At 38.3% G+C, this 12,412-nt stretch overlaps 1 protein-coding gene across 27 annotated transcripts in view; it reads left to right on the forward strand.

Annotated features, from left to right (window-relative positions):
• CHRM3 (cholinergic receptor muscarinic 3) overlaps window positions 1–12,412 on the forward strand; it is a 528,883-nt gene that overhangs the window by 92,267 nt on the left and 424,204 nt on the right. The window contains exons 1-2 of one of the 27 annotated variants that reach the window (XM_017000152.3): window positions 2,036–5,494; window positions 6,938–7,067. The exons of the other annotated variants lie outside the window; for them this stretch is intronic. The gene's annotated coding sequence lies outside the window, so the exon portion shown is untranslated. Of the gene's footprint in view, window positions 1–2,035; window positions 5,495–6,937; window positions 7,068–12,412 lie in introns of those variants that run through there. 27 annotated transcript variants of the gene reach the window in all.

A 12,412-nucleotide genomic window follows, 5' to 3' on the forward strand; every position in this document is an offset into this window, starting at 1 on the left:
ATGAGGAAGAAGAATATTTGAATAACTGATGGCCTATGGTTTTTCACAAATTAAAAAGAGACAGCAGGCCAGGCATGCTGGCTCATGAATGTAATCCCAACACTTTGGGAGGCTGAGGCGGGTAGATCACTTGAGCCTAGGCATTTGAGTTCAGCCTGACGAACATGGGGAAACCCTGTCTCTATGAAAAAATACAAAAATTAGCCAGGTGTGTTGGCTGGCACCTGTTATCTCAGCTACTTGGGAGGCTTTTGCAGGAGAATTGTTTGAACCCAGGAGGTGGAAGTTGTAGGGAGCCAAGATTGTGCCTCTGCTCTGCAGCCTGGGTGACAGAGTGAAACTCCATTTCAAAAAACCACACACACACACACACACACACACACACACACACACACAGAAAAACAGAGAGACAGCAATCTACAGATCTAATAACTTCAGGAAACCCTAAGCAGTCTAAATACAAAGAAAACCACACTGTATGCGTTATAGTCGAAATGCTATAACCAAAGATGAGAAGAAAATCTTAAAAGCAGCCAGAAAATGAAAGGCACACATCATTAGTAGGCGAACAAAGATAAGAAGGACGGCTAACTTTACATCAGACCCAATGGAAGCCAAAAGACATTGGAACCACATTTTCAAAGTGCTGAGAAATAATACATGGGAAAAGTATTTTTCTCAACAGTGGCGATAAGTTCTGAGAAATGTGTTCTTAGGCGATTTTATTATTAGGTGAACAGCATAGAGTGCACTTACACAAGCCAAGATGGTATAGCCCAGTATAAACCTAGGCTATGTGTTATAGCCTATTGCTCCTAGGCTACAAACCTGTGCAGCATGTTACTGTGCTGAATGCTGTAAGCAATTGTAACACAATGGTAAGTATCTGTGTATCTCAACATAGAAAAGTCAAAGTAAAAAATATAGTAGAAAATATAAAAAATAGCACATGTCTAAAGTACACTAACAGTGAATCAAGCTTGCAGGACTGCAAGTTGCTCTAGGTGAGTCAGTGAGTGGGTGGTGAATGAATGTGAAGGCTTAGGACATTACTGTACACTACTGTAGACATTATAAACATTGTCTACATAGGCTACACTAAATTTATTTTAAAAATAAAGTAATTGTGCTATGATGTTACAAAGGCTATGGTGTCACTAGACAATAAGATATTTTCAGCTCCATTATAATCTTATGGGACCATCATCATATATGCAATCTGTAGTTGACTGAATCATAATTATGCATTCCAAGATGGTATGTTAACCTAGAATTCTACATCTAGAAAAAATGAGTATTAAATAAGATATTAAGGCAGACAAAAGCTAAAATAATTTGTCAACAGCCAACTTGCACTAAGATGAAATACTGAAGAAAGTGATTTATGCTGAAAGAAAATTACACCAGATGAAAAGCTCCTACATGGAGAAAAAAAATGACCAACAATAAGGGTAATTATGTAGGTAAAAACAAAGAACTTTTTTTGTGAAATACACATATGTGTTTATTTATCTATCTTTTAAGCCCTGTGCAAAGATTGTATATAATGGTGTACTGTGAGATTCATAGCACATGAACAGTATCTTATGTAATACTTAATGAAGTCCTGGAAAAATAAGAGATACCATTTTTGGAGCACCTCCTGTGTGGCAGGTAATGCGAAATGTAACTTTATTCATTTTAACTCAGGTAATCCTACGATAGCCCAATTTTTTTTTTTTTTTTTTTTTTTTTTTTGTTGAGACGGAGTCTAGCTCTGTCACCCAGGCTGGAGTGCAGTGGCACGATCTTGGCTCACTGCAAGCTCTGCCTCCCAGGTTCATGCCGTTCTCCTGCTTCAGCCTCCTGAGTAGCGGGGACTACAGGTGCCCACCAGCACACCTGGCTAATTTTTTGTACTTTTTTAGTAGAGACAGAGTTTTACCGTGTTAGCCAGGATGGTCTCGATCTCCTGACCTTGTGATCTGCCCGCCTCGGCCTCCCAAAGTGCTGGGATTACAGGCGTGAGCCACTGCGCCTGGCCAATAGCCTAAATATTATAACAAACCAAGGCTCAGATGAGTGAAGTAACTTGGCAATATTCTACAGCCACTAACTTGCAGAGTGAGGATTTTAGCTCTTGCTCCCTTGTATACTAAAATGCATAAATAAGATTTTAACATTATTTACATGAACAGAAGACAGAAAATAACGATTTTATGTATAGGAAACTTTAACAAATTACAGTGTTTCCATTTAATGGAATTTGGCAGCTGTTAAATAGAATGGGGTACATACATGTAAGTGTGATGACCTGGAACAATATTCATGACATATAATTTTGAATGGAAAAAATCAGGTTGAGTATAGGAACCTATATGTTTCCACATGCATATGTACATATATGTATGCTTTTATGCACAGACATAAACAGATATACACACATAAAGAATATCTCTTAACTATGTATAGACTACTAATAGATTTTAAATTTCGGAAGACGTATTTTAGAATTTGTGAGTTAGGGATTTTTTACTGCACTTTATTTATTTTTTTTACTTCACTTTCCGTTAGCACTGTTTGCACTTTTCCACATACTAGGGCTTTTTTCAATGTAAAAATATCCAAGTTTTTAAATAAAAAATACTTTTGCTGATTTATTGCACAAAATTTGAGGATTTACAATATGAACTTATTGGGATAGAGGTCATATTTTATGTTTTTCTTTTCTTTGAACTTGCACAATTCCCTGATAGGTAGGCACTAATATTTGTTGAACTTTCAATTAAAAGGACGTTGGTCATGTTGAAGAGCAAAATTTCATTGAACTATTGGTAAAAGAGACAAACACAGAAGTAAGTAGGATGGCTTAGAATAACATGTAGTGTGGGAGATGATATTTGAACAGCTAATTACTGGATGAGTGCTATTCTAGGGGCTGGGATACAAGGTATATCACTATAGGCAGCAAGAATGGTACCCACAGAGATGGAGAGGGAGAAAAGTACAGCTATGTGTTGGAGTAATAGAATCTTTTGGGGGAAATAATGAACTGGTAAAGTAAGTGGTGCTGTACTGTGGAGTGGAGGGAAGTGATTGATAACTTTTGAACAAGGTGAACTTCAAACATAACATAGCTTCATAGCTTTAGGAAGATTAATCCAGCAAGAAGTTCTTCTTCTTTTTTATTTATATTTTTTTGGAAGCATGTTTCGAAGACAATTCTTTTTTCTATTACAAAGGCTTATTTTTTTCATTTTCTCTTCTTTTATATTCTCCCAGACACCTCACCTATGTTCTTGCTCAACTTCTTAGTTTTTTCCTTTCTCTCCTCTGCTGGCACTTCTGCCCCTGCCTCGGGTATGACAGTAACAGCCCAGAGACACCCACATGCTTTTATGAGCCACTCTGCTTACTCTTAGAACAAGCATTTTCACACACTTCTGTTGAATATATCATGTCTCTTTTCTGCATGACTTTTTTTTGAAACTTCTGTCCACGTGGACATGCGACTGTGATGGGAAACACTGTGGCTCTTTAGGGGAGAAAAGCACCCACAAGACTGGAAACCAAAAGAGTTTTCAAGCTTCTACTCTGCAAAGTCACAGGACTGTGTTTGGAAAGCCAAATATTCTGGTTGAGCTATAGTTTCTTTCATCAGCAAAAACAAGATAACCTTAACGCCTAGAATACCTCTCACATCACTACTCTTCTCCTCACTGTCAGTTCACGGGCCTAACCCCTAGTCACTCTTAGTATCTCAGATTATTAATATACCACTGCCTCCAGGGAGCCTTCTCTGACTTCCCATACCTAGGTTACTCCTACCTAGCTCTCAACCGTAGAATTCTCTCATTACACTGAATTGCAATGGCTGGTTTGTCTATGTTCTTTCTTAGACTGTAAATTTCATATGGTTTTGTATCATATCTTTCATATTTATCCATTATGGCCGGTACCTAGCTTAGTGGCTAGAAATTAGTAGACTGTCAGTAAATATTTGTCAAATGATTGAATGAATAATATGATAAGAATTTATGGTATTTCATCTTTGTTTATATGAAACTAAATGCCTCGGAAATTTTGATATGCCTTTAATATTTTACTGTATTCTTATACTTCTAAAGCATTTTGCTCTCCCTCCTCCTGCACTAGAAAGCCACCGTGCTATTCGCTTCTGATTTCACAATCGAGTTTGTAAAAGACACTATTTGAATCAAATGGATCTCTTTAGAGTTGCTTTTTGGTTTGGGTTCATCACCATCTGAAATAAATATGAAGGGGAAAAGGGATAATTTGAGGACACTAGTTTAAAATAGCCTAATTAACAGTCTTGATAAAGTGTTTGAAAAAATTACTTCACATTCTTTCTACATTTTCTACATTCTAATTATTCTAACCTTCATTGTACAGGAAGATATTAAAGATTTACTAAGATGAGGTTCAGAAGTGTTGTCCCAGTAGAAGACTGTTAAGAAGCTCTCATTGTCATAAGCTCTCATTGGAATTCCAAACAGCTCTTCTGTAGCTTCTGTAAAATTAGCTAATCATGCTGTTCTTGGATTCCCAGTTTTGGTTCTCCATTTCCTGTGTACGGTCCTGGAAGAGGCTCTTCACTATTGGACTTCCCTATAAGGTTGAGCTCAAGGAGCCTAAGATGGTTGTCCCTCCAAAGAGAGGGTTTGCAGGAGCAACTAGAAGTAGTTTGCCCTTCTTCTGCAAGGCTTTTTCAACTGTGAAATCATTTTGACAAGATGCTTTGTCATATGCTTGACATCTTTTTTTCTTTTTTAATGAGGAAGTGACTGAGAGATAATTTAATCTGAAATGCTGCCACCTACGTAGCTAGAGATTAATTGGATACTGTCTGAAAAATTATTTGAGCACCTCAGAGACAGAGTCTAAGTAAACAGAAAGTGGTGTTAATAAAGTAGAGACAAATTATGACTCTTCCCCATCTACTTAACCAGGTTGTTGGCAAACCGCTCCTGTTTCTGAGTATCCTTAAATAGGCTAAAATGACAATTTGATATTGCAGCAAGTGTGGATTTTACACAACTAGGATATTGTTGTCTCCTTCTAGCACAGTTATGAATTTGGCTACCTTTCTCTTGGAAGCTTATTTTGTACAGGAAGGAAAACAGTAATTTAACCACAATGGACTTTGTTGAAAAACATAATGCTATTAACGAAGTAAGTGTGTAGTCTTTTCAGCTTTGAAATTTTTCCTCAAGATCTCCAAAAGATCTTTATTTTAAAATGTTTCTGGATGTATTCGTTCTTTCTTGTGTTTCTATAATTGAATACCTGAGACTGAGTAATTTATAAAGAAAAGAGGTTTAATCGTTCACGGTTCTGCAGGCTGTACAAGCATGGCACCACCATCTGCTCAGCTTCTGGTGAGGGCCTGAGAAAGCTCACAGTCATGATGGAAGGTGAAGCGAGAGCAGGCATACCACTTGGTGACAGCAGGAGCAAGAGAGAGAGGAGGTGCCATACTCTTTTAAACAACCAGGTATTCCATGAACTAACTGAATGAGAATTTACTCATCACCAAGGGGACGGTGATAAGCCATTCATGAGGGTACTGCCCTCAGGATAAGGTACCTCCCACCAGGCCCCACCTCCAACATTGGAAATTACATTGGAACATGAGATTTGGAGGGAAAAATATCCAAACCACATCACCAGGATATAACTCCAACAGTGTAGAACACTGTTATTAGAATGGAAGAAACAGCTAGGTGTGGTGGTGTGTGACTGTTGTCCCAGCTACTCAGGAGGTTAAGGTGGGAGGATCACTTGAGCCCTGGAGTTTGAGGTTGCAGTGAGGTATGATGGCACCACTGCACTCCAGTCTGGGCAACAGAGCAAATCTTGTCCCTAAAAATTATTTTTGAAAAATAAAGTGAAACATGGGAACAGGACAGTGGTGGGCATTGTGTAGGGGCACTCACATCCCACACTGACATATGTCAGAGCCAGTGGCACAGAGTACACACCGTGTACATCTTCTATCCTTGGGCAGCTGTGCTCTGAGGAAGCAAGGGGAAAGTTGAAAGGGATCTTATAAAAAAGGCCTCTATAACATAAAACCTTCTCATATAACAGGAAATATTATAAGTAAACTCCAGTTCATACATTTTTATGAGCCTATACTTTCACCAGTCTAAATTTGTTGGATGGAGGAAGACAGGATATCCCTATATTTATGGAGATCTTGAAGTTAAGTTGATTTTTGCTGAACATTTCTCTTATTTATTATGAACTTGATGAGGGAACAGAAACTATTTCTCTACTAAGGAAAAATGTAAATTCCAGCTCAATGATAAATTGCAAATGACACTTGGCTTCAGTGTTGGGAAGGCATGAGGGGACGGTGGGGGCTGTGGCACACTGGGAATCCAGCCATCCCAAAGGGGAGACCCTACTCAGCTCATGATTGTCAGCATCACACATGAACAGGGTATAATACTGGCAAAATCTTATTATTATTATTATTGAGACAGGGTCTTTCTCTGTTACCCAGGTTGGAGTACAGTGGTGCAATCATGACTCACTGCAGCCTCAGCTTTCTGGGCTCAAGCAATCCTCCCAAGTAGCTGGGGCTACAGGCACATGCCACCACCTGGCTAATTTTTTAAATGTTTGTAGAGATGAGGGTCTCACTATATTGCCCAGGCTAGTCTTGAACTCCGGGCCTTAAGCGTTCCTCCTTGGCCTTTCAAAGTGGTGGGATTACAGGCATGAGCCACCACACCTGGCTCCCTATTATTTTAAGAGAAAGAAGGCAAAAGGTTTTCACTTGAAATCTCCTGATCTTAAAGATTGCCTCCCCAAAACATGTTATGTCACCTGTGAGATTTCCTCACTTAGATTTTTGCCTTGAACCCTCTCTAGCTCTGTATTTGCCACTGCGTGATGTAAATTTTCAGTGAGCCCTTTTGCTCTCTCCTAGAACTTGACCTCCACAATGCTAAACTGAGTACCCTGTCAACACTAGAAGATTGCTCTTCCACCTAATGTTTTCTGTCAGTCGGTGATCTGCCATACTCCTTGCAATGTTATTTTCAAATTCTTTAGTATTGGTAGGTACGGTCTGTATTGTTTCTTTATAATTGTCTCAAAATTAGTTTTCCCTTTCTGTCTCCACCAAGCACTTACCTAGGGGTACTCTCATTAACTTACTCCTGAACTAATGCAATAGCTCTGCTGTTTTTACTCATTGCAGGAGAGAAATTTGGTGTGCTCACTGTAGGCTAGACACCTTACAAAGTGCTTGGGAAACAAAACTGTAAGCCACGTCCCCACACACAGGTTCCCATCCTGCTGTTTCTCTTTCCAAATGCTTGAATATCAGATTTGTCATTCTCAGTTTCTATATTGATCATGCCCTCTAGCAATATCTATAAATCTCTCTTGCTATCAGATGCAACCTAAACTGTTTAGCCTAGTGTTCAAGGATTTACTCTGGCTGTGGTCTGTGCTTTGCTTGGTCTTCATTTATCATAGTGCCTTCTGGGGACAAGGGGATCATTCTTTCTTAGCTCTCAACTTGTACCGCCACAAACCCCATCCAGTGTCAGTCCCTTTTACTTTCAGCCATCATCCCCTGATGCCTGCCCATACACACAAGAACAATAGAAAATGTTGAGTTCTTTTCTGTCTGTGGGAACTTGATCATGACACAATTTAGAACCAGAATTGGCAAACTTTATTTGAAGAACCAAATAGTAAATATTTTAGGTTCTGCAGGCCATATGACCTCTCTTGCAACTACTCACCTCTGTGGTTGTAATGTGAAAGTAGCCAAACCAGGTAAATGAAAGAGTGTGATTGTGTTCTAATAAAACTTTATTTACAAAACAGGTGGCTAATAAGCTGTAGTTTACCAACCCCTGATTTAGAATATCTTCCCCTACCTCTGTGTTCCTGAACTTTCTGCTCTCTGATGCTTCCTCATCACCATCACCAGAAACTTTGTTTCTGATTACCTGTGGCACTGCCCTCTACTGCTGCGTACGGTAATGGGAAGGTTACCTTCTTAAAGGTGACAATTTCCTGGATGGGGCCAAATGTTATTCATCTTTATATCCTCGCATTCAGTAATATTGATTAAATGAAAATATGAAGAACCATTTGCTCTATGTCACTGAATTTCCTAGATTTTGACATTTATTGCAATTCCAATTTCTAGATAGAACTTATTGAGAGAAGCAATAAAAGCTGATGCAGAACATATTAAATTCTTGTTATATTTATGCTATTCTTTCTTCCACTTGCATATGAAACTCGATATAGAAAAGTATAGCCAAAATAGGTAGAATTTTGTGAAGTCAGTAATAGATGGAGGAGAAGTCCCTTGTTTAAGACATTAAAGTGAGACAAGACAAAGCTATTTTTAGGATTTTTGTGCATGATAGGTACATTGAAACCCCTAATAAAAATATTATTCGTTTTTCAAATTCAGTATAATATTATCATTATTTTCAGATAATATAGTCTTCAGTAAACCAGAAAACCCCTTGAAAATAAATGAAAAACCGAGTAGAATTTAGTGCATGGTCTACTTAAAAAAATTGTTGTTCAGAATTTAGTAGTTTTAAGGTACACAGGAAATTAACACTTAGATTTTGGGAGAAAAGCCTCCATGTACAATAGCAACAAAAAGTATACAATACCTAGGAGAAGTTCAGTCAGAAACATGTAAAAAAACCAAACACTTCAGACTTCACTGTGAGATTAAAAAAATAGCTGAATCTTTGGCAATACAATGGCAAGTTTTTAGATAGGGAGATTTGGTATTGTGAAAATGTCAATTCTTTATGACTACATTGCAATTCCAATCAAGATAACAATAAAATGTTGAAGTGCTTACAAGGATAATAAGAAAATGAATCCAAGATAGTATCATTTTTTTCAATCATATCAAATGTATAAATCTTCATGTCTAAGGGAAAAATTGTATTGCTTTTTATAGAAAAAAAGCTGTGCTACTACAAATACAAAGTCAAATGACAAAAATATGCTTGGGTAATATTTGCAAAAAAAAAAAACAAAACACAAAGACAAAAAAAAGAAAAATATCCTTAAAAGAAAGATAAATACAAACTACCCAATAGAAAATTAGGCAATAAACAGTTCACATTTAAAGGAATAGTCAGTAATCATGTAAAACTCAATCACATGACTCAATAAAGACGTGAATATTAAAATAAGACACACTGATTTGCAAAGATAAACAAGTTTGTTAATGCCCAGTATACTAAGGGTGTTGGTAAATGGGTCCTCTCATAGTCTCTTTGTGAGAGTGTAAATTGGTGCAAACTCATGGGTAGGCATTTGGCTAATTGCCTACCAACATACTAACATGCAAGATGCCACACAAAGAATCTACCAACATACATACATGCTTAAAAGTATTTATGAAATGTACATAACCGTTAACTCCTCCTAAAAGTCAAACTCCCCTCCTGGAATGATTTCCTACTTATGTATTAGCAGAGGTACAGAAAGTATTATTACAGTGGACACAACCAGAATGTTCATTAATAGAGGACCAACTGAATTATAGTAAATCTCTATTGTGGAATTAAAGCAATTAAAAAGGAATTAGATGGGCCAGGCGCGGGTGGCACAGGCCTGTAATCCCAGCACTTTGGGAAGCCGAGGTGGGCAGATCATCAGGTCAGGAAATCGAGACCATCCTGGCTAACAAAGTGAAACTCCATCTCTACTAAAAATGCAAAAAATTAGCTGTGTGTGGTGGCAGGCGCCTGTAGTCCCAGCTACTTGAGAGGCTGAGGCAGGAGAATGGTGTGAACCTGGAAAGCAGAGCTTGCAGTGAGCCGAGATCCCGCCACTGCACTCCAGCCTGGATGACAGAGCGAGACTCCTTCTCAAAAAAAAAAAAAAAAAAAAAAAAAAAAAAAAAAAAAGGGAATTAGATGGTTTTGTAGATGTTGATACAGGTATAAGACATCTTCACAATGTAAAGGGAAGAAAGTACAGCATATACTGTACTTAAGTTACAATTTCCCCTGTATAAATTGTTAGGCATTTTGTATGCATAAAATTGCATAAGAATTGTTGAGAAACTAATGTCAGTAGTTACTTCTAGAAAATAGGTTAGGAGAACGTTTGGGAAGGTTTGAAATTTATATCTGTCCATATATTTTCAGCTATATTTATATGCTACTTTTGTAATAAAAATCTGGTTACAAATAAGGATTTTCAAACTTCTCCTCGATCTTCTGCAGCTAGAGAAAGGCAGGATAAAAATTGCAAGTCTTTCTTTTTGTGTAAGAAAAAATTTGGGGGCCAGGCGTGGTGGCTCACGCCTGTAATCCCAGCAGTTTGGGAGGCCAAGGCAGGCAGATCATGAGGTTAGGAGTTCGAAACCAGCCTGACCAACATGGTGAAACCCTGTCGCTACTAAAAATATAAAAATTAGCCGGGCGTGGGGACACATGCCTGTAATCCCAGCTACTCAGGAGGCTGAGGCAGGAGAATCGCTTGAACCTGGGAGGCAGAGGTTACAAGTGAGCTGAGATCGCGCCATTGCACTCCAGCCTGGGCAACAGAGCGAGACTCTGTCTCAAAAAAAAAAAAATTGGGGGTCAGTTAGGAACAACTTCGTTTCTCATTCTTGGTATCACTTACAGAGCTGTAATGAATGTCATCTAACCCTTTACACATTTTCAACAAGGTTTCAATACCTATCTTGTGGAAGGCATGAGTTAGGTAGAGGAACAGGATAGCTTTTGCCTTCAGTGAGCTGATCATCTATTTATATCAGTCATAGATGATTAGTTAGTGATACTTTATGTTTTTTGCTATTTTGGGGGGCTTTAAGAATATCTTGGGGACATATATGGCCATTGTTACCAAAAATAACTTGCAATTAGGCCATTTACTTTATTGTTCCATTTTCTTAAATTCGAGGAACTAGTGTACAATGTATTCATGTTCTGATACATGTATCCAGAACTTATGAAAATGTTTTGTTGTTAAGTGGTGGTGGATTGTTCTGGCTTTGTTTCTGGATAGGCATATGGACAGTTCTCATGGGAAGAAGGAGGAAAAAATAATCTGTTCTCACCTCTTCCCATGCAGTAGAGGGTAGTGCTAAAGAGAGCAGATGTTAACAATAGACTACCTGGATTCAGGTCCTGGCTCTTCCCCTACTCACTGTGGGAACTTCAGCAAGTTATCTAGTCTCTCTGCAAATATGAAAATAATTGTATCGTAGGGTAGTTTGGAGGCTTAAGGACATAAACAAATGTTGCATACTATTTAGTACGAGTACATAGTAAGTGCTCAATAATGTTAGCTAAAAGTAGTATTTCTTTTGCTGCTTCATTGATTCCTGATTGGTTTTGACTTCAAAGTTGGCAGTTCTGGTTTTCATTTGTGTGACTTCAGGAGTAAATGAATGTCTTATGTACATGTGGCAGTTGTGTATATGTTAAGCACTGCTGAAGAGTGTTCTTTGGCTGAAAGATCTAGTCATGTTACAATGTTTCTAAATTTATTTATGAAATAAGTGAAAGGAGCAAACAAAGGTCAAGTCTCAGTGGAAGAGACCTTGAGATCCTCCTTCTCTGTAATGGTCTGTTCACTGGTCTGTCTCTGTTAGAAGTAGAGGCTTCTCAGAAATAAGGACTGTTACACTTGCAGTATCAAGCACAAGACCTAATGATTAGTAAATATCTCTTGAATTGAATACGTTCTGTTTCTTTTATTAGTATTATTATTATTACTATTTATCTTTTGAGATGGGGTCTTACTCTGTCTCCCAGTCAGTAGCGCAATCATAGCTCATTGCAGTCTGGAACTACTGGCCTCAAGCAATCCTTTGGCCTCAGCTACCTGGGTAGCTGGGACCCCAGGCATGTACCACCAAGCTCAGTTAATTTTGTATTTATTATTTATTTATTTTATATTTATTTGAGACAGGGTCTTACTCTGTCACCTAGGCTGGAGTGCAGTGGTGCCATCACAGCTCACTGCAGCCTCATTCTTCCGGGGCTGACTTCCACTTCAGCCTCCCAGGTAGCTGGGACTACAGATGTGCACCACCATTCTGGGCTAATTATTATATTTTTTGTTGACACGGGGTTGTGCCATGTTGCCCAGGCTGGTCTCAAACTCCTGGGCTCAAGTGATTTTTCCCCTTGGCCTCCCAAGGTGCTGGGATTACAGGCATGAGCTGTGGCTCCTGACCCATTATTATTGTTTTTAATTCACACATCATAATTATACATATTAGTGGGATACAGTGTGATATTTCCATACATTTATACAATGTGTAATGCCCACATCCATCCGTCCACATTAGCATTTCCATCACATCAGACATTATCATGTCTTTGTGTTGAGAACATTCCAGATCTGCTCTTCTAGCTATGTAAAAATATACAATAAATTGTTT

The sequence above is a fragment of the Homo sapiens genome, chromosome 1 (genome assembly GCF_000001405.40).
Source record: "Homo sapiens chromosome 1, GRCh38.p14 Primary Assembly".
NCBI classification, from domain to species: Eukaryota; Metazoa; Chordata; class Mammalia; order Primates; family Hominidae; genus Homo; species Homo sapiens.